We start from the raw sequence: 22,567 nt of genomic DNA on the forward strand, positions 1-22,567 counted from the left end.
CTTTTAATCCTTTGTCTGTCTTAACTCATTCTTAAGGAAAACTTTCTTGCCTCCTGCCGCCCACAGTCATCTCTCCTTTGACTATTTCCACAGGCTGTTATTTTCACTATTGGCCAAACCACACCTCTGCACTAGCCTCATTTTCTAGATCCCTCAGGCTTCTACAATCTCTCTGGACTCAAAAGTCTTTGGGAAAACAAAAATAGAACTGATTGACAGTAAAGCACAGCTCCTGATGACCCAGCTCACAAATGCTGCTAATCAGAGCCACTATCCCAGAGACCACATTGTGCCGAGATTCATGGTTTGCTGGGCAGAAGGAAAAGCACCCGGTAATTGGCTGTGACCACAAAGGTCAACCACATGAACACCCAGCAAGACAGGCATGATAAAAAGCAATAGAAGGCCTGGAGAGAAAAAAGCTGTGGTGGTAAGTGGTACTGGATGTGATTAGAGGTGGGGACAGGAGTTATGAGCAGCAGACACTCTGCAGGAGAGAAGCAAGTTGATGATGAAGTGAGAGAAGATACCAGCTTTATGGTCTGTAGAGGTGGCAATAAGCTCTCTCTCTCTCTCTCTTTCTCATTGTCTCTCTCTTTCTCGTTGTCTCTCACTTTCTCTCTCTCTCTCAATGGTATAGCCCTCAGGAATGAAGAAGACTCTGGGGAAAGCAGCAGCTTCCTCTCCTGCTATGTGGAACATCTCGGTATCATATGTAACCCCCTCTGCAATTATCCGCCAGGGGCAGCAAGCAGCTCAAGTACCTACAGATACCAAATGGATAATGTAAATGTGCAAAGTAGGGCAGGTATTAGGAATGGAGAGAGGTGGGAACCATGGCAAATTGAAGAGCACACACTCCATCGAAATGTGTCCAACTGTGCATCACATCTTCTTAAGATACCATATAGGCTAGACAAGACATATATTTGGGCCAAATATGGCCCACAGTCACCCTGCCTGTAATCTTGGGGCTTCACAGGTGTATGTGCAGCACATCATGACAACTGGTGATGAGAATGATGAACTTGGGTTGCCAACATGTTGGTTATGCTCTTTCAGACTTCCAGGACTAATGTGATCTAATGGGGCTACTGTAAATGTATTTTGGGAGGTAAGCTTGATGACATGGCTTTATCAGCTACCAGCTACAGCATGGTAGTGGCCCTTAAAGGATTTTAGATCACTTCCAGAAGATCTAGAATAAAAGGCTCATCTTATTGTTCCCTCAGTAACATTGGTGGCTTCTACCCTAGAGGCTGTGCCATAGTTAAGATTCTACTGCTGTTACCATATAACATTTTTTTTTTTTAGATGGGGTCTCACTCTGTAGCCCAGACTGGAGTACGGTGGCAGGATCAAGCTCACTGAAACCTCAAACTCCTTGTCTCAAGCTATCCTCCCGCCTCAGCCTCCTGAGTAGCTGTGCCCAGATATATTTATATCAATCGATTGATAGATAGATTTTAGTTTTTGTAGAAATGGGGTGTTGCTCTGTTGACCAGGCTGGTCTCAAACTCCTGGCCTCAAGCAATCCTCCCACCTCGGTGTCCCAAAGTGCTAGGATTACAGTGACTCCACTGCACCCAGCCTCATATAACTTTTTCACTTTCCTTCTCTTTACCTCTTGGTTTCTGCTTATTCTTGACTTGTCTTGCCTTGTGGCCTGCATTCTCCTTGTATTACTCAACTTGTGTCTCATAGGTAGACCAGTTAACATCTATCTATACAGTGCCTTTGCTGGACAGAACTCTCATGGCTACCAGCCAACCTGCGCATGGCTGCTTTGGGCCAAGTGCTGAATATCTAAGTCAGCTTAGCATTGGCCAGAGAATCACAGTAACCAGGCACAAAGCATGGGGGCCCATTGATAAAGAACCACTTATGGTTATCCTCTGAAGGGGCTGTGAGCATAGCAGATACTTGGTGTCATGTCTACAGCACCAAGATGTCTAAAATTACATTCAGGGTAGTCTCTTTAAGAAGGCAGGGAAAAGTTAGTTAAAAGAGGCATAGAAATCAAAGGCTTGACTTAGTTCTATGGAAAGTGAGGCTACTCAAACTGGGTCTTGTTTCTGTATAAATTAGGGTTGTATTTGGCTGCAAGTAACAGAATACCCAATTAAGCGTTCTTAAATAAATATGGATTTTTTTTTACAAGTACAGAGGTAGATGGTTATTGGTATTGGCTCAGCAGCTCTGTGATATTAAGGTAGCCATCTCTGAGATTCCTTTTGCTTGTGCCTTGTGGTTACAAGATCGCTACTGCAGATCCAGCATTGCCATTTGTGTGCAAAAAACGAAGGACAGGAGAAGGTCCTTGATAGCTCAGGCTGTCCCTTTTATCAGGAAGGCAAAGGTTTTCCAATAACTCACCTATCTCCACCAGCCAGTTCCTCTTAACATCTCATTGGCTGGATTTATGGCTTCCTAGCTGCAAGGCAGGCTGGGAAATCGGGCACCTGGCTCTCCAACTAGATTGAAAGTATCTTGTTTCTCAGGCATAAGGATTTTTTCATGTTGTGGTTCAATGAAGCATTGGGTGGCTTATGCAAGAAGTGCAAGATAACAGAAAAAGCAAAGAAAAAAGTAGAGGTTTGAATATGGGCTCCATCATTTACTGACTCTGTATTCTAAAAGTAATTAACCTTGCTGAATGTTATTTTCTTGCTAGAAAAGGGAGGTACTAAATGCCTGCCTAGCAGGGCTGTTGTGAAGATTGAATATTATAGTGTAGTTACAGTTCCTGGCCCTGAAGAGATGCCCCCAAAGAGTCATTATTCTATTGTGGTGTGCTTTGTTCTGTCTGATGAGTATGTGGCAAGTAGACACAAAGTGGAAGCAGCAGAACTTTGAGGTGAAGAGCATAGGCCCTAAATCAGGCCACTTGGTCCAGATTTCCCCTCTACCACTTACTAGTTGTGTGACCTTGGAGATGTTACCTGGCCTCTCTAAGCTTCAGTTCCCCTGTCTGTAAACTGGAGATAAGAATAGGACTTATCTCCTAGAGGTACATTTGGAAGAAAGAAAGAAGTAATATACACAAAGCATTGGGCACTGAGCCCAGCACAAAGTATGCGCACAGTAAGTTTTAGCTATTATTAATATTGATTGGATTTTTTTCCCCTTGGCCCAGAATTAAACTTATTGAACCAAAAGAGCAAGTGCATTGCCGTTGAAACTCTTTAAAACCAAGTCCTTTTCAATCCCTAAAGTATACCAACTATTATAACTGGAAGCAGCAGCATACCAAGAGTGGGTTTGGGCATGGGCGGGGGGGCTTCCCTATATTCAGGAATTAAGAGGGTTCATTGTCAGTATAGAATTTTTTAAAAATAATTTTTAAAAACCCAAGTGAAATAAAACATTGATCTGCTTTTTATGATCACCATCTACCAACATTTCTAAACAATGTCATTGATAAAATTGCCCCCTCACAAAACTTTTGTTTGCTTAAGTTCTAAACATTGCTGCAATGACTGTTGAGTTTTAATAATAGATCCATAAGTTGCACATCAACACATTTTTATTACTTATCCTTTAATAAAGATTGTGTTCTTTATTAAAGTAAAGTACTGGAGAACTCTGAGTTATATAGTCAGCCCCTCATGCCTACAGACTCCATTTGTAACAGTTTTGAACTGGGGCTGGCTTCAATTTGTATCTCCAACTTGAGCAGTCCTTCACATTCCTGCATGCAAACAGCAGACTCAGCAACACAGATTTAGTGGCTGCAAAGACAAAAACATGGAATTTGAGTTACTTCAATTCTGTGTGACTTTGGGAAATTTTATTTCTATTATATTTAAATTTAAATTGGCTAACAGAGCATGAACTGTGAGGTATGGTATTTATTTGAGCATATTTGAGTGATCTTTTAAAAGGAAATTATTCTTTTAAAATTACTTGTTTTTCAGAGTAAAGATCAAGAAGATTGTGCTTATTTCTGATTATTACATGATTACTGCTGAAAATATTTTTGTTATATAGAGGATGTATTAGTTCGTTCTCATGCTGCCATAAAGAAAGAAAGGGTTTTAATTGATTCACAGTTCTTCATGGTTGGGGAGGCCTCAGGAAACTTACAGTCATGACGGAAGGTATCTCTTCAAAGGGCAGAAGGAGAGAGAATGAATACCGAGTGCGGGGGAAGCCCCTTATAAAACCACCAGATCTCGTGATAAACACTATCAGGAGAACAGCATGGGAAAAACCGCCCCTCGTGATTCAAGTATCTCCACCTGATCCTGCCCTTGACATGTGGGGATTATTACAATTCAAGGTGAGATTTGGGTAGGGACACAAAGCCAAACAATATCAGAGGAAGCAGAGATTAAGAAATGATTTACTCTGGTAACAAATATGCTCATTGTGCCACAGCACAGAAGGGACTTAGAATCTAGTGTAAGCCCTTCACTCTACAATTATCAGAAGGGAAGTTGTCTGAGGTCACCCAGCTAGGCAGTAGCAAAGAGACTAGACAAAACTCTCCTAGCTATTGCCGGACTACTTTTTCCATCCTCTACTCCCAAGGTAACTGAAATAGAACTATAGTGTTAGTGTTTCTCAAACTGGTAAAGAATCAATTTCTGAAATTTTTCAATCTATTGCAGAATAATACTAGCACACAGCCCAGACTACTGGCAGTTCATCATTCAAGTTCATACCATCCAAACAGTCACTCTCCTGCTGAACAAGATAAGTCCACTGATCACACACTTGGATACAGCAGCAATATCAAGTTGCCATAAACGTTTTTAAATGTTTACTCTCAATTTCTGTTCTTATCCCATCATAGACCGGTGACGGTTTCCTGACCAGCTTTGAGTAGCTCTGTACCATCTCATATAGAGTCCATAGCAGGGACTTATGGGCAGGAAAACATCTCTGGATAGTTAGATAAGCAATTTTTAGCTTTTGGGTTGTTTTGACTTTGTTAAATTTCTGTGAGGTTAAGGGCTTAGGTTTGAATTACCATCTGTATACTAGCTGCATGGCCTAAGCATCTTTAGGTGAGTTTTCTCATCCATAGAACAAGGGAACATTAGTGCCTAGCTCAGAGGGGCTTTTAAGGGGATATGCGTGTGCAACCGAGGGTGGGGGCTGACATGTAGTAAGCCCTCTTGTGTATTAGCTATTATTAATTTTATTGCCCCCTCCTCTTTTTTTTAATGTGGGAGGAGGGTGTTGCAGAATAATGTGTCACAGTATAGTTACTATTATTAGGGTTGTTGCTTTTCTAGCCAGAAACCTCTGTGGCCGGTGGCGCCTTTGCCTGAGTTATTGTCCTGCATCCAGGAAGAATGAGGCATGCAGACAAGTGGAGAGTGAGCAAGCTGAAGAGGAGCTTTATCAAGTAGTAGAACAGCTGAGAGGAAACCAGCAGTGGGTAGCTCCTCTCTGCAAGCAGGTCATCCCATCACCTCTGCAGCTCTCAGCAAAGGCTTGGACTGGGTGGCTCCTCTCCACAGGCAAGTTGTCCCAATGAGTGTTCAGCTCTCAGCAGAGAGGGTAGTTTCTGTCTGCTGAGAGCAGGCCCTAGCTCCTCTCTGCAGCTGGTTGTCTGGATGTCTGCTGCTCTCAGCAGAGAGGAGACCCTGGAGAGGCTAGCTCTTCTCTGCAGCTGGTCATCCAGAAGTCTACTCTGCTCTGGCTGAGTCGGGGGTTTTTATGGTCTTCGGCAGGGGGGTAGTGCATGCTGATTGGTCCATGGGCAGCCATAGGTGGGCCCAGGGTAAAGCACCCCGAGTTCCCCCTCTGGTCAGCAGGACTGGCAGCCTGGTCCCCAGGCTTTAGGACTTTCCCAGGCTGAAGGTGAGGCTTCACCGGGGACCCAACCCCTTCTGCCCAGGAGCCTGTCTGCCTCCCCCTGCTGTTCATGGCACCCAGGCTATTTGTCCCAAGGTGAGCCTGCAGGCCAGTGCTGAGCTGCCCTCATCCCCCCGCTCAGCTTCCCTCCCATGCTTGTTGGCACCCAAAGTTCAGAGGGGGCTGAGGGAGCAGGGGGCTGGCGTATCAGTACTGTCCCAAGCATGCGTCCACCTGGCTGGACTGTGTCAGTACCCGGGCTTGGCCCCAACCTTACTGTATGATCAGAGCAGGCACTGGGAGCAGGGAGAGGCCAGGCAGTGGGAGCAGGCACTTCCGAGCCTGTTGGGGGCAGGGGCACCTTCCTGGGCCCCCAAGGCACAGAGACACCCAGTCTGGAGCTGCACCAGGGCAGCTGCAGCAGCACCGGAGGAAAGCAGGGCTCCTGCCTGCTCCCTAGAGCGGGAGCCCAGCCACACTTTCCCACCACAGCCAGTGTCTTGGCAGCAGCCACTCTAGATGGGCTGTTGCTGCCATCACCATAAGGCAGCCCAGGGAAGAAATTATGCCAAGTCAGGAGTTAGAGCTGTGAGCTCTGGCCCTGTTTTCTGGTGACCTGTCAGGATCACTACGCTAGAGGTGCATTCAGGAAGCAATGATGGGGCATCGTCCTGCGCCAGGCTTTCACTGTCCCTGGCAGAGAAATGGTCCCTGTTCTCGAGGGTCTCACGTCGTGGAGAAGAAGCAGAAGAGATACTGTCAGCAGATACAGGGGCTGTCACAGAGGCAGGATCCCACGCAGAAGAACTCCAGCTAGCTCTTCTCCATCTTAAGTTTCCCAGTTTGAGCTCACAGAGAAAGCCCAGTTGGGTTTGTGTTACACAAGGGCACCGTCTCCATCTTTGCTTCCCTTGAGGAGAGATTGTCACCTTGTCATGGGACTTACGATGACCTTGACATTGCTGCATCTCCTCCCATGACAGAGTGGTTTTTCACTGATCCTGGATAAATGAATTAACTGCAGTGGTGCTGGTGGCAGGGGGTGTGGAGGGAACAGGAAATACTACAGAAAAGGGGAGATGTTGTATTCGGGCTTCGAAGGATGAGGAGGAATCTGCATTGCAAGGTGAATGCCCAGGGGTTGGACATGTTCCGTGACAATAAAAAGTCCCCATCTTTCTAAGATCTGGCTTTCTCATCTGCGGGATGAGGATAAGGAAACTGCCCTTGCCTCACTCATGGCATCCTTGGGAGTGTCCTCTGACGGACCCAAGGCAGAAATGTTTTAGGAACTATGAACTGCTGTACAAATTATTATATAATACTCAGCCCCCAGCACAAACATTGACTGTCAGCAGAGAGGGTTAGAACAATTGTTTTGCAAGTTGATGAATTATTTTAATCTTTTATAAAGTGAACTCTCCCAGAATGGTTTTCATTAATGTCCGATACCCACAACTGAACCACCACGCCACTTGTCTTTTACTAAAACACTGATAAAACAGAATCCAGCTTGCCTTTGTGAACGTGTTAAAAACGATGTTTTCAGGGAGAACAATAGAAAAGTAGCCAGTGTTGTCAGTTTGACATTCCTCGCTAGGATTTATTCAGGCTGCTGATGTCTATATGCAAACAGTACATTTAGAAGCCAAATGGGTTCTGGTGCCTTATGAATTTCTTTCTTCTCCCCAATTTGCATAGAGGGGAGGCCAGCAGGAAATGTAGTGGCAATCAAATTTCACTTGTAATGAAACAATGCAGTGTTTTTGACTGTGGATGGGTGTTTAAATAATCTTGACAGTAGCAGCTGGTTCCTTTCTTCCTTTGTCCAATTAGGTGCTGTTTTTTCTGCAAGGATTACTCAAAGGCAGTCAAACCTTGATCCTCCCTGTGTCAAAAGTCTGCCTGAAAGCCTGACTTCTCATCATCTAAGAAGAAACAGCACATTTATTTTTCTGTCTGGGTGTGACACCATTTCAGAGAAAGGTTGCTAGCTTTGAGCTGAAATGTTATTTCATCCCTGGAGTGTAGGTGAAGGCTGTTTCTTCTAGGGATTGGAGAGAACTGTGCCAGCTAAGGCAAGTACTCAGGATAGCCAGATGCTGTCAGCAAACAAAGAGTCTCGGTGGAAAGTGAGAAAGTGTGCATTAGGGTGAAGAGGCTGAATTGCCACCTATCCGTAGCTCTGGGAAGAGAGAAGCTCTGTAAATAATCCACTTTCAGGCAGTTTAATGCTTTGAACATAGTAACAGCCCATGCGCAGAAATCATCTGATAGAGCAGATTGCAAATTTCACTTCCAGCAGTGTGGTTGTTCTTGCACTACAAGGAAAGGTTCTGGCAGCCTAGGGAGGAAGAGGGAAGAGAAGGAGGGGGACTTTGAAATATGGCCTGGCCCTCCTCCCACCTCCATGATGCCACGGGGAAGGGGTATCTCAGAAGGGATCCTAGCTATTGATTAGAACCAGTGTAATTTTCTTTGTCAGCACTTAAGACTGTTTCCCACTACCTGTAGACTTCCCAGATTAATGAGTCAATGGTGTCCATGGGGCACCTCTTATATGTGCAACTGATCCCCAGCATCCGGAGAGTGGTATAAGGTTTATAAAATGTTTTTCATTTACGGTGTTGTATATTTTTCCTCCCAATAATCCTGATGGGTAAGAACAGACATGGAAGTTATTTCCCTGAAAAAAGAGGTAAAAGAATAAGATGTCATAATAATAATAATAATAATAATGGCTCAAATTTATTGAGCATTTACCAGACTTACTATCCAAATGATCACATTTAATTCTCATAACCACCTTGTAAGGGAGGTACTCATCACTCCCAATTTGCAGATGAGAAAACTGAGGTTCAGAGAAGTTAAGTAAACAGCCTAGGTCATACGAGTAGGACACAGCCCACTCCAGCTGAGGCAGAGCCTGTGGTCTTCTGAATCACTATGCTATGCGGCCTGGGTCTCTGACACTTAGCCCTGTTCGTCCTCCAGGGAGAGACATTTGACCAGTATTAAGAGCCTACTGTGTGCCAGGAATAGCTCTAGACACTGGTGATGCATTCATTCACTCAACAAATATTTCAGTATTTCCTGAGTGCTCACTACATGCCAGATTCTGTTTTGTGTTTGGGGTACATCAGTGAACAAAGCTCTCTGCCTTCCTGGAGTTTACGTTCTACTGGAGCAGGCAGACAAGAAACAGGACACATTTAAGAAAATCATATGGTATGTTAGCAAGTGATACACTCTATGGAAGAAAGAAAACTTACAGCATAGTAAAGGGTACCAGGAATGCTGGAGTTGGGGTAGACAGGGTACACTTTTAAATAAAGTGGCCAAGAGAGGTCTCATTAAGAAGGTGGCATTCAAACACAAAAATGGAAGGAAATGAGGGAAGTAACTGTGTCCACATATAGGGAAGAGCATTACAGACAGAGGGAAGAGGCAGTGCCCAGCATGTTGAAAGAACGGCAAGAGGGTAACATGGCCAGAACTGTGAATGAGGAAGAGACAGCAATAGAGATGTGATCACAGCATGGTGAGGACCCAGTCATGGCAGGCCCCCATGTCACTGTGAAGACTCTGAGTGAAATGGAGCGCCCTGGCAGGGCTCTGAGCAGAGGAATGGCCTTTTCTTGTTTTTGTGTTTAAAGAACCACTCTGAATGCTATTTTGAGATGAACTCTAATGTGGCAAGGGTGGAGGCAGGTCAGAGCCAATGCAGTGATCTAGGGAAGAGATAATGCTGGCTCGGGCTGGGCAGTGTTGAAGGTAGTAAGAAGTGGTCAGATTCTGTGGGTGTTTTGAATGTAGAGCCACATTGCAAGACTACCAAGTCATTAAATCAACTGAAACCTGGAGTTTCAAAAAACCTAGACTTAAGAAAACCATTTTCATAACAGAGGAACAGAACATAGGATTTCATGCATGGTGACTTAGAATACTGAAAATTAGTGCTAGTTAGGAAAGAACTATACTTAGACCCAACAGAAAGCATGTCAATAAGAAAACTAGAAAACATAATACATTCCTGTTGTTGTTCCTTGTTTCATTAAATTCAATGCATTCACAAAAATAAAGCAAGCCTCACTAACAAAGCCACATCATTTATAACTTTGCCCTTGTGATTGTGCTGTGAGTACATTCCACAGACAGAGTTAACAGTATTTTAAGAACCATTGCTTCTTTGTTTTCCAAGCTGAACCCTGTTTTACTCCATTGGGAAATATAAATAATGGGAGAAAAGGAAGCAAGATAATGCAAGTATTAATTAACCATTCCTGATCCCTATGACTACAGACACTTTGTGATTATAAGAATCCTAAGAAAAATGGCTTTTTTCTTCTAGGCTTCATCTATTAGATGCTAATGTGGAGAACAAAGTGGCCAGATGAACTTGATTAGCATCACTCTAAAGGAAGATGAGTTGTACCTAGGCAGTTGTCGTGGGCTTGGTGTTTTTTACCTTCTCTATATAGCACAGGAAGTGTTTTGCTGCTAAGACTCGGTGGATCATCATTTGTTCTTTTATCATGGGTGGGTGTGGGCAGAAGATGAGCATCAACAATATTTACTGCTTGACTCCTATGTGCCAGCACTCTGCTACTGTCTCATTCTCCTTTGTACACCCAGTTTATAGTCTTTTAATTCAGCCTGACAGTGTTCTTTATTGAGGTGCACACCATCATTAATGTTCACAGCTGAATGAAGATCTGGCTTTCTAAACAGCTACAGGATTGATGGTTTTATATTAAGGGAGCATTCTCCTCAATGGAGCTGACTTTTAAAAGTGGACTCTGGCATTGGATTAAGTTCTGAGTATTAGGAGATCACTTAGAAGGTCTGTACCTTCCTGCTTGCCTGGTGGCTAATTGTGCAGCCATTATCAGATTCCTGATTAAGAAAGTATATGATGAAAGTTTCCTATGAGGAAACTACTGTGGATAAAGGCCTAAGCTTAGCCTCTTCAAAATACGATTAAATATTAGGTTGGTACAAAAGTAATTGTGGTTTTTGCCTAATAGTTGAGGCATTCTTATTAATCAGGATCACTATTTCTGGAAGTTCTAGCCACTAATAGGCAAGAGAATGAAATAAGTATACCACATTATAATTATTTGTGAGAATTATTAAAAATAATAAAAGTTCAATCAGAAGCCACTGCTAGAAATCACATTACATGTCTTTGAGAGAAAGCCCAGGCACAATCACTGCTGTCTGGGCAGAGCCTCAGAAATCAACTTGCTCACTTAAGGCAAAGGAACATTTACTATTATACTGAACTTTGTCTACACTCAAAAATGGGATCAGAAGAAAGGGAAAGGTTTGTGAACCTCAAGTCCAAGAATAAAAATAGAGGGCTGAAAATGAAAACTCTTATTTTTTAGCTGTCTCAAAAGGAAGCCAGACATTACAGACCAAGGACCACTACTATAAAAGCCTTGGATATAAAGTCAAATTTCTCACATTTTAAAACTCTATGCTATTGCTTCCTTCCTCTCCTCCTCCTCCTCCTCCTGCTGAGTGAAGAGCATAGGCCCTAAATCAGGCCACTTGGTCCAGATTTCCCTTCTACCACTTACTAGTTGTGTGACCATGGAGATGTTACCTGGCCTCTCTAAGCTTCAGTTCCCCTGTCTGTAAACTGGAGATAAGAATAGGACTTATCTCCTAGAGGTACATTTGGAAGAAAGAAAGAACTACTACAAAACACACACACACATACACACACACACACACACACACACACACACACACAGAGTCAGTGCTTCAGGAGCAATGACAATGGGGGATCTTTGTCATAGCCTACTGCCAGGTTTGAGAAACCCCAAGGGATACAGTAGATGGTACAGTGATGGAGGTTGTCACTAGGCTGGATGGGGGGAAACAATTGAAAGAATGTACTCGAAGCTCAGTTTGGAGGTCCAGCATAGGAGAATGGCTGGGGGAGGCAGGAACAACAGCCTAACTCATTTAAAGAATAGTAGAATCAAATATATCCCTCACAGCTTCCAGCGCATGATCTTTATAAATGTGTCTGAATCCAGGAAGATTGCTTCATAGCAAGACACACTTTCCCCCGTTGCCATGGAAACAGCACTGTTCTCATGTGTCAGGAGCGCATGCAGACACACACACACGCACACACGCACGCACACACTGTATGTTAATACATTCTGGTGTTCTTTATACTTCTAAAAGGACATGTTCAGAGCCAGAATTTTACTAATTCCTATCATCCACTTGTTATCTATTATCTGTGTTGTTATGATGTTAAAAATACTGATTTTAGGTTTTTCTTCAATATAATCTCTCCTAGAAGTGAAATAATTCATTATTTGCCCCTTCACCTAGCTCCAATTTTTCTCCCACCCCTTAAACGAACATACTGTAGATCTCAATGCCTATAGTTTATTAATGTTTTAGAAACCTGTTTCAGATCCTAGTCAATTTCTTTGATGGGTAGAATGATGCATTTTGTGTACTTCATGTTCTTAAATATTCTCCATCTAAAATATTGTTTTTACACTGGTAAAATGGCAATTTCTGGGAAGAATGTTGATGAATCACAAGTTTGTATGAGTGTGGGACTATAGTGGTCTGGTTCAGTCTTCAATCTGTATACACTTTAAAAGAAACTAAAGGAAACTGATATGGAGAAATATATTATTTTGACAAGTGTTTCTTGGGCATCTACTATCTCCATATATGACCCAGTTGCCCCTGAGAGCTAATTCCAACTACATGGAGATGCTCACGATCAATGATGAGATGGCATGGTGCATGAGAGTCAGGGAACAGTCTTCAAAGCTCAACACAACCAGCTGTGGCTTTCACTTCACTTGAATTAGGTCATAGAGTCATAACCTGTAAAATGAGCAACTTGGACTAGACTACCTCCCTGGTCAGCTTCAAGACGCCACGGCTATACTTCCATTTCAGAACCAGGCCCCATGGAGTGTGTGGTTGCTTAGACAGCCTCAGTAAGTCCCCGTCTAGGAAGTGACTCAGCCATGTCAGTGTGGGGCTCACACCCCAACAGGCTTCCCACTCCTTGCTGCACCAGTCTTCACCCCAGACCTAGGCCCTCTGGGTGGGGTGGAGCTCCTTCCCAGTGTTCCCTCCCTTCTCCTTCTGCCCACCTCAGATCTACCCTTTGTCACTTGCCTACTGAGACCAGCCAACTTGAGGCAATCATTCCTGCCAAGTTAGCCAGTGGCTGCATATATCATACTCAAGGCAACATTCTTATGGTAAAAATTTACTTTCTGCAGATACCAACCCTGGTAAAGTCTCCAATTTATTTCCTACAACAACTAACCTTCTCACATTCTTTGTTTCAGCCTCAAGGGCAGTTCCTGGAATTCACCAGGCTCTTCACTGCCCTCAGCCTTGGCCTCTAGCCAATGCTGCTGCCACTGCCCAGAAATCTTCTCCTCCACTCAGCACTCTGTTAACTCCTTTCCGCCCTTCAGCAACAGCTTCCAAGTCTCTTTCCCCAACTGAGCCCTCTGCTATTCTCTTTTCCGTCATAGATCTTAGCAGAAAGTACAAACATCTCCCTCAGTAGATGACAGATTTCATGAAGGCACTGTGCCACCGTACACCTGGTACCTGCCTGGTACACAGCAGGGGCTCAGGTTAATAACCGTTGGTTAAATACATGGATGAACAAATGAATGAAAGCACTGTCTTAACCCAAAGATGAGACAGATGGTAGGAATTGCAGGCCCTGGCACATGTCGATGGGGGAAAGAGACATTTTTGAGCAGGTGAAACTTGTCTCTTATCTCTACCTGCAGTGCTCACCTGACTCCTGAAGGACAGACACTAGCAGCAGAAAATATCATCACTCCCAAATGTAGCTTGTCCTATAACTGTTTGTCAACAATAAGGCTTTGACTCACTACAAAAGCTTTCTTCACATGAATTCAAAGCATTTTGCTTTGCATTTGAGCAAGCCTGTTGGTGACAGCAGTCCTTAGAATGTGAAGCACAATGGTTTAAACATTAAATTGAGACCGTAAGGCTGAAACTTGTTCCCATCTCACAACGAACCTTTGGCAGAACAAAGACCAGAATCCAATTTTTGTCAATCAAGTCACTTTTCCCCTCTGGGCCTCAGTTTCCTCCTCTGTAGTTGAATGTACCTCTTCCTCCACTTCACTCTTCCCAAAGTGCTGGGATTACGGGTGTAAGCCGCCGCACCTGGCCTTCATGTTTATATCTAAAAAAAAAAAAATCACTCACATGTGAACTTTTCTTTAAATAATTGGCTATAGAGGACACATTTTCTTGGGAATAAAAAAGGCACTAGTAGTGCTATTTTTGTTGTGCCGATTGATGCCAGCAGATTTATAGTTGCCCTACTTGTTCTGTTTGTCTTGCCTGCAGAGTGGATAGGTGGCTGGGTACATTGCCCTCAAATCTTTGAACAATGGCCCCAGCTTTAAAATGTGCTTTCTTGTCCTATTTTCACCACTGAATCAATGTTAATTAGAAAAATCCTTTAACCTCTTTATGTCTTAGTTTTTTCACATGCGAAATGGAAAGAGCACCTGGCTCTCCACATGCCTAGAGAAATCTAGCACGGGGTGGTTAGAATTTGTGACTGCTGCCCTGTCAGTTCCATGGAGATGTCTGGCCTCTGGGCAGTATGGAGATGCAGGCTTGCCAGCAGTTTGTGATGCCTCTTTTGCTGGGTCCCATGGAAGGTTGCTAGATGCCCTGACTCCTGGTGTTCTATAGCCGGAGAAGACAGATTCGGTGTTACTTCTAGAACAGTGCCTCCCCACAGGACCAAGTCTAATCCGGTCTGATCTGTAGCCAATGAGAAAAATAAAGATAATGTGGTGCATGTGTCTGTGTGTCTGTGTGTGAGTGTGTGAGTGTGCATATTGTCAGTTGTTCTTTCTTCTGAGATAATGTGCTTCCTATTTTTCGGTGTGAAATTGTTTTTTTTTTTTTATGTCCATAATGCATACTTGTCATAAAATTTCAAAGTCTGCTTTAAAACACTGAGCTGAAGGACAACCCTGTTATTGTTTCCTAGATCTTCTGTGACCTGGTTTTGACAGTCAATGATTAACTTACTTTGGCTAGAAGAGGTAATGCTAAGTGTTGGAAGTTTACTCAGCTTCTTAACTAGAATTGCACTAACATTTACTAAGGGTACACTGCGTGCTAGGAACTGTGTTTGATGCTTCCATGTACATCATTTTATTCAATCCTCTTAGGAATTCTATGAGGTTGGAAGTGTTATAGCCATTTAAAATAAGGGCAATCTGAAGCTCAAAGAAGACAAACCACTTGGTCAAGGTCCCCAATTGTTAACCATCAAAGTCTGAATTTGAACTTGGTTTGTCTGAGCCCAAAGTCCATAGTTTTTAACCTCACTAGCCTAATTCTGTAAATAGATCTGGGATGAACAGGACTCTTTCATCCATGACGCCTTCCTATCTGCTGAGTTGGTGAGAGTCTGAAGAGGGGCCAAAGCCAGGGACAAAGTGAGACCAAGTCCCTGAGTCACACAGTGACCTTGAGTGCATTCCAGAGATCAGACTGAAACATCCTCGATGATCTCTTCTGTGGTATCATCTACCCTTGATTTTCTATAAATAGGAATAATCAATGTTGACTGGACTGAATGACACAGAAGCAAACGAATTGTTTGTCCTCCAGGACTGTAACCAGCAATCAGCCTTGTATTCAGTGACATTTGGGCCAGTATTTACTTCTTTATCTCATATCTGTTTTGTCTGTGATTAAATTCCACTATGAAGGTGACCAAGAAAGCTAATGTTTTGAATTTTCAAGATTTCATTGTTAAGAAATCTGTTCAAGGAAAGGCCAAGTCTTTGGGCAGAATGACCAAATGCTCCTAAGCCTCAAGTTTGCGAACTTTATTTCAAAAAGTAGAGTACTGGTCTTTTTAGCTAAAGGTTCCCATTCTGTAGGTCTCATGGGGGTGTCCTGGAATCAAACCTGGGGATTGAATATAGGCAGAAGATCCAGGAACACACATTGGGAACAGTTCTAAGATACCCACATTTCGTTCAAGAGGCATATATAATCATCATTGGCTGGCTGGACACTTTTCCTTTATTGTTTTTCTTTCCAATCAACAGGGATGAAGAATAGCCCTTGTTGACCCTACATGCCAAAAACAAATTGCACGAGCCTCCAAATAATCACTTTTTGGAGGGTATATTTTAGTACAAAAAAATGGACCAAACTGAAGAAGCCTTAGTTGTAGAGTCCAGAGGGTTGAAATTGGGGAGGGGTGAGAACCAAGGTGTCCTCATGGGCCAGGAGAGCACACCCTGGCCCATGCCTTTCTTAAGGACAAGGCACGTGCTGGGCACTGTCAGCGTGGAGTCATGAATCCGGAAGAAGCAGTTGCACTAACTCAAAAGTCCTTTAGCATTTACAGACAGTTCTGTTTTTATCGAGTATAAGCATATCTTCCGAATGCTGCCTGCAAATGCCAACTCTCTGGCTGGCGCCATGCTTCTCCAAGGTAACGCGCTCTGTGTGCATGGCTGTCTTCATGGCTGTTTATAGGCAGAGAACAATTCTCATTGATCAACACCTGGGCTGAACCAGTTGTTCGATATACAGGCATACCTTGTTTTATTGCATTTCGCTTTATTGCACATCCTAGATACTGCTTACTACTTTTTTTTTTATATATACAAATTGAAGGTTTGTGGCAACCTGGCATCAGGCAAGTCTATTGGTGCCATTTTTCCAACAGCTTGTGTTCATTTCATGTCTTTGTGTCACATTTTGGTAATTCTCACAATACTTCAAACTTTTTCATTATTACATTTGTTATGGTGAACTATGATCAGTGATTTTTTTCTTTTTCTTTTCTTTTTTTTTTTTTTTTTTTTTGAGATGGAGTTTCGCTTTTGTTGCCCAGGCTGGAGTGCAATGGCGTGATCTTGGCTCGCAACAACCTCTGCCTCCCGGGCTCAAGCAATTCTCCTGCCTCAGCCTCCCGAGTAGCTGAGATTACAGGCATGTGCCACCATGCCTGGCTAGTTTTGTATTTTTAGTAGAGACAGGGTTTCTCCATGTTGGTCAGGCTGGTCTCAAACTCCCGACCTCAGGTGATCCACCCGCCTCAGCCTCCCAAAGTGCTGGGATTAACAGGCATAAGCCACCACACCTGGCCGATTAGTGATTTTTGACGTTACTGTTTTATTGTTTTGGGGAGCCATATAAGATGGAGAACTTAATAAATGTATGTGTGCTAACTGCTCCCCTGACTGCCTGTTCCTCCATCTCTCCCTTACCTTGGCCCTCCCTATTTCCTGAGACCCAACAATATTGAAATTAGGACAATTAATAACCATACAATGGCCTTTAAATATTCAAGTAAAGGAAGAGGAACACATCTCATCTTCTTTTTTCTTTCTTTTTTTTTTTTTTTTTTTTGAGATGGAGTCTTGTTCTGAGGCCCAGGCTGTAGTGCAGTGGTGCAATCTCGGCTCACTGCAACCTCCACCTCCCAGGTTCAAGCAATTCTCCTGTCTCAGCCTCCCAAGTAGCTGGGACTACAGGCATGTGCCACCACATCCAGCTAATTTTTGTATTTTTAGTAGAGACAGGGTTTCACCATGTTGGCCAGGCTGGTCTTGAACTCCTGACCTCAAGTGATCCACCCACCTTGGCCTCCCAAAATGTTGGGATTACAGGCGTAAGCCACCATGCCCCGCCACATCTCTCGCTATCAATCAAAAGGGAGAAATTATTAAGCTTAGTGGGAGGTATGTGGGAGGCCAAGATGGGCTGAAAGCAAGGCCTCTTGCACAAAACAGTTGGCCAAGTTGTGAATGCAAAGGAAAAGTTATTGAAGGAAATTGAAAGTGCTACTCCAGTGAACACATGAATGATAAGAAAGCAAAAGAGTCTTATTGTTGATATAGAGAAAGTTTGACTGATCTGGATAGAAAATCAAGCCAGTCACAATATTTCCCTAAGCCAATGCCTTGTCCAGAGCAAGGCCCTATCTCTCTTCCATTCTTTGAAGACAGAGAGAAGTGAAAAAGTTGCAGAAGAAAAGGTGGAAGCTAGCAGAGGTTGGTTCATGAGGTTTAAGGAAAGAAGTTGCCTCCATGACATGGAAGTGCAAGGTAAAGTAGCAAATGCTGATGTAGAAATTGCAGCAAGTTATCCAGAAGACCTAGCCCAAGACAGTTGATGAAGGTGGCTACACTAAACAACAGATTGTCAGTGTAGGTAAAACAGCCTTCTATTGAAAGAAGATGCCATCTAGAACTTCCATAGCTAGAGAAGAGAACTCAAGGCCTGGCTTCAAGTCAGCCTTCAAAGGACTCTTTTGTTAGGGGTTAATGCAGCTGGTGACTTTAAATTGAAGCCAATGTTCATTTACCATTACAAAAATCCCAAGGCCCTTAAGAATTATGCTAAATCTACTCTGCCTGTGCTCTAGAAATGGAACAACAAAGCCTGGATGACAGCACATCCGTTTACAGCATGGATTAGTGAATAGTTTATGCCCACTGTTGAGACTTACAGCTCAGAAAAAAAAAAAGATTCCTTGCAAAACATGATTGCTCATTGATGATGTACCTAGTCACCCAAAAGCTCTGATGGAGATGTACAGGGAGATTAATGTTATTTTCCTGTCTGCTCACACAACATCCATTCTGCAAATCTATGGATCAAGGAGTAATTTTGACTTTCAAATGTTATTATATAAGAAATACATTTTATATGATTATAGCTACCATAGGTAGTGATTCCTTCAATGGGTTTGGATAAAGTAAATTGAAAATCTTCTAGAAAGGATTCACCATTCTAGATGCCATTAAGAACATTTTTGATTCATGGGAGGAGGCCAAAATATCAACATTAAGAGGAATTTGGAAGAAGTTGATTCCAACCCTCATGAATGACTTTGAGGAGTTCAAGACTTTAGTGGAAGAAGTCACTGCAGATATGGTGGAAATAGCAAGATAACTAGAATTATAAATGGAGCCTGGAGATGTGACTGGATTGCTGCAGTCTCATGACCAAACTTCAATGAATGAGGAGTTGCTTCTTATGGATGAGTAAAGAAAGTGGTTTCTTGAGATGGAATCTACTCTTGGTGAACATGCTGTGAACATTGTTGGAATCACAACAAAAAATTTAGAATGCTTCATCAACTTAGTTGATAAAGCAGTGGCAGGGTTGGAGAGGATTGACTCCCAATTTTGAAAGAAGTTCTACTGTGGGTAAGTAAAATGCTATCAAACAGCATTGCATGCTACAGAGAAATATTTTATGAAAGAGTTCATCAATAAGTCCATTATTGTCTTATTTTAAGAAATTGCCACAGTCACCCAACTTTCAGCACCACTACTCTGATCAGTCAACAGCCATCAAAAGTGAGGCAAGACCTTCCACCAGCAAAAAGATTAAGACTCGCTGAAGGCTCAGATTGTTAGCATTTTTTAGCAATAAAGTACTTTTAAACTAAAGCATATCTGTTTCAGACATAATGCTATTGCACACTTCAGACTACAGTATAGTGTAAACATAATTTTTATATGCACTGGAAAACCAAAAAAAGTGTGACTCGCTTTATGACATTATTCACTTTGTTTTGGGGGTCTGGAATCAAACCTGCAATGTCTCTGAGGTATGCCTGTACTTAATGTCATCCCTAACTGTGACAGTGCCTCTTGGGCAAGTTTATCTTTGAGGTTATTTTGGACCATGGAAGGTCACAAAGAGTGAAGCGTATAAAGGGTTCCCTGAGAAAAGAGAGTTGGAACTTGAGGCAAGGTGGCAGGAGGAAGAGGAGAGAATACAGCTAAAAATACTTAGTATGGTGTCCCTAATTGGTGAAACTAGGCCAAGGTTGGCAAAACTTTTGTAGGAGAGTCAAGTCTGAAGGATGGTTAGTGGCTCCCTGGAGTCCTGATCTGGAAGAATTTCTGCAGTCACAGACAGCCTCAGCGGTGATATCTACAATGACTGATTACTGATGTCTGCCAAGGGCCCAGGAAGAGGTGTGTTTGGCATATTTGTCAGCCATGCTCTGGTGGACATGTGGATACATTTTGAACTTTTTGGCCTTTTGCTGATCTTTATTTTCAGAAACACACACCAGCATTTCTTTTCTCCTCATGCATATTCATGGCTATCTACTTGCTGCTCAAATAAGAGATTTATAGTAGTTTAGGCAGAATCTCTCAGAGGTATCTGAGCTAATGAGCAGTAAACACCACTCAGCATATGTCTCTAGAAACTCTGGGCAGGGAAGCCTCTACAAGTTGGTCATCCCTGTGTAGTCACTTTTTCTCTTTGCAACAGATGTCCAATACTCAGGTTCTCCCATGCCTCCAAAACAGCTGTCACCCTCAAATCCCCTGGAGTGGATCACGACTGTGGCAGGATCTATGACATCCATTATGGGTTTCACACAGAAGACATGATAGAGTGATATGAACTGTGACTGTGCTGTCACCAGCACTTTTAGTTATAACTGAGCTCTCTGGAAATATCTGCACCACTTGAGGGAGTTGGTGTCCTCAGCTGTGTCCTGCTGCATGATGTGAAATGGTAGAGGCAGGCCATTTGCCTCACTCCCTTATTGCTACACTGCCTGGCTCTTTGCTATTTTTATAAAAAATCAAGTTTTCCTTAAATATCAAAGAATTTTGGCCAGGTGTGGTGGCTCATACCCATAATCCCAGCACTTTGGGAGACTGAGGTGGGTGGATCACTTGAAGTCAGGAGTTCGAGACCAGCCTGGCCAACATGGTGAAACCCCATCTCTACTAAAAATACAATAATTAGCTGGGCATGGTGGCACACGCCTGTACTCCCAGCTACTTGGGAGTCTGAGGTGAGAGAATTGCTTGAACATGGGAGGCGGAGCTTGCAGTGAGCCAAGATTGTGCCACTGCATTCCAGCCTGGGCAACAGAGCGAGACTCCATCTCAAAAAAAAAAAAAAAAAAAGAATTTTATCTTCAGGGAGCCCCTCTGTTTTAGTCTACTTGGGCTGCTATACCAAAATACCATAGACTGGCTGGATGAAACAACAGAAATGTGTTTCTTTATAGTTCTGGAGGCTGAGAAGTCTGAGATCAAGATGCTGGCTGATTCAGTTCCTGGTGAGGGCCAACATCACAGCCTCTAGACAGCCACCTTTTTGCTGTGTCCTCACTTGGTGGGGAGAGAGCAAGCTGCCATCTCAAGAACAGTGATCCCATCATGGGGGCCTCCCTCAAGATCTCATCTAAACCTAATGACCTCCCAGAGGCCCACCTCCCAATACCATCACATTGGGGGTGAAGACTTCCACCTAGAAATGTGAGGGGGATACAAACACTCAGTCTGTAACACCCTCCTTTATGGAAGGTGTGTCTTCATTAGAAAACACCAATCCTTGATAATATAACCAAACTTTTTAACACTAAAGAGTTTGGCTGGGCGCGGTGGCTCGTGCCTGTAATCCCAGCACTTTGGGAGGCCGAGGCAGGTGGATCATGAGGTCAGGAGATTGAGACCATCCTGGCTAACACAGTGAAACCACGTCTCCACTAAAAATACAAAAAATCAGCCAGGCGTGGTGGCGGGCACCTGTAGTCCCAACTACTCGGGAGGCTGAGGCAGGAGAATCACGTGAACCCAGGAGGTGGAGGTTGCAGTGAGCCAAGATCGCGCCACTGCACTCCAGCCTGGATGACAAAGCGAGACTCTGTCTCGGAAAAAAAAAAAAAAAAAAAGTTTGACCTGAACGTTTTGTGCTTTGGGTTTTAGTGGGGTTGGTGTGCTTGTGCTACCGAGTTGAGAGAATAGAGAGCTTTAATAATTATTAGCATTTAGCAAAATAATGATGTTTTCAGTTTTAAAAAGAACAGTAAGTGACTCAATTCCTATTGCTAATTGTAGAAAATGTCATGGTGGAACTGCGTGGGGAAATACAGAGGAAACTGCAGTGGGTTGGGGAGGAGGACCGTTTTGAACTGCTTTTTGTTAAGAGAACTGACAATTCTGCTTGTCGAGTTGTTAATACAATGTTGAAGTTCAGGTGCTGTATCTGATTTCAATTCCTGACTCCTCCACTTAGTAGCACTGTGACTCTGGGCAAGTTACTGCATCTCTCTAAGTCTCAGCTTTGTCATTTCTAAAATGAAAGTAATAATAGTTCCTACTCCATGGGACTCAATGAGGAGAAGGTTCAATGAGGAGCTGGGAGTGGTGTCTCTTGCCTATAATTCCAGCACTTTGGGAGGCTGAGGCAGGAGGATCGCTTGAGCCCAGGAGGTCAAGACCAGCCTAGGCAATAAAGTGAGACTGTTGCTACAAAAAAAAAAAAAAAAAAAAAAGCCAGGCCTGGTAGTGTGCACCTGTGGTCCCAGCTACTCAGGAGGCTGAGGTGGGAGGATCGCTTGAGTTCAGGAGGTCGATGCTGCAGTGAGCCGTGTTCACGTCACTGCCCTCCAGCCTGGGTGATAGAGCCAGACTCTGCCTCAGAAAAAAAAAAAAAAGAAAAGAAAGATTCAATGTGAATGTATGCAAAGTAATTCAGGATTGTGTCTGGAACATGGTAAGTGCTCATTAGATGTTAGCTATTATTATTATTAGTATTATTAGCAGCATGGTGGGAAAGATACAGCACTAGGAAGCTAGAGCCCTTTCCCCAATTACTGAGGTACGTTGACAGTAAAAATAACAACGACAACAACAATAATAGCAACACTTTTATGTACTAGGCTCTTAATATTATT

The 22,567-nt window shown here is 43.2% G+C and overlaps 2 long non-coding RNA genes across 3 annotated transcripts in view, besides 3 other annotated features; one reads left to right on the forward strand and one right to left on the reverse strand.

Annotated features, from left to right (window-relative positions):
• The window catches only part of LOC124901607 (uncharacterized), a 95,727-nt gene that overhangs the window by 51,715 nt on the left and 21,445 nt on the right, over positions 1-22,567 (forward strand). The gene's annotated exons all lie outside the window — the stretch shown is intronic.
• Positions 1,526-1,725: an enhancer, noted in NCBI's record as "active region_25808". NCBI's record gives its function as "activates an Ori minimal core promoter by ATAC-STARR-seq in GM12878 lymphoblastoid cells {active_cell/tissue: GM12878}" and the evidence as "EXISTENCE:reporter gene assay evidence [ECO:0000049][PMID:35858748]".
• Positions 7,185-22,567, reverse strand: part of LOC105375218 (uncharacterized) — a 38,659-nt gene continuing 23,276 nt past the window's right edge. Inside the window, exons 3-4 of the long non-coding RNA NR_136267.1 lie at positions 13,870-14,038; positions 7,185-8,152 (exon numbers count right to left, since the gene is read on the reverse strand). This is a non-coding gene — a long non-coding RNA (uncharacterized LOC105375218). The remainder of the gene's footprint in view (positions 8,153-13,869; positions 14,039-22,567) is intronic.
• Positions 14,822-14,966: an enhancer, noted in NCBI's record as "145 bp enhancer 259 fragment used in the MPRA reporter construct; PK_construct_226". NCBI's record gives its function as "activates an SV40 promoter by MPRA in HepG2 cells {active_cell/tissue: HepG2}" and the evidence as "EXISTENCE:reporter gene assay evidence [ECO:0000049][PMID:23512712]".
• Positions 14,888-14,901: a transcriptional cis regulatory region, noted in NCBI's record as "HNF1 motif; enhancer activity is reduced when this motif is scrambled". NCBI's record gives its function as "necessary for full MPRA enhancer 259 activity {active_cell/tissue: HepG2}" and the evidence as "EXISTENCE:site-directed mutagenesis evidence [ECO:0005528][PMID:23512712]".

This window comes from Homo sapiens, chromosome 7, assembly GCF_000001405.40.
Source record: "Homo sapiens chromosome 7, GRCh38.p14 Primary Assembly".
NCBI classification, from domain to species: Eukaryota; Metazoa; Chordata; class Mammalia; order Primates; family Hominidae; genus Homo; species Homo sapiens.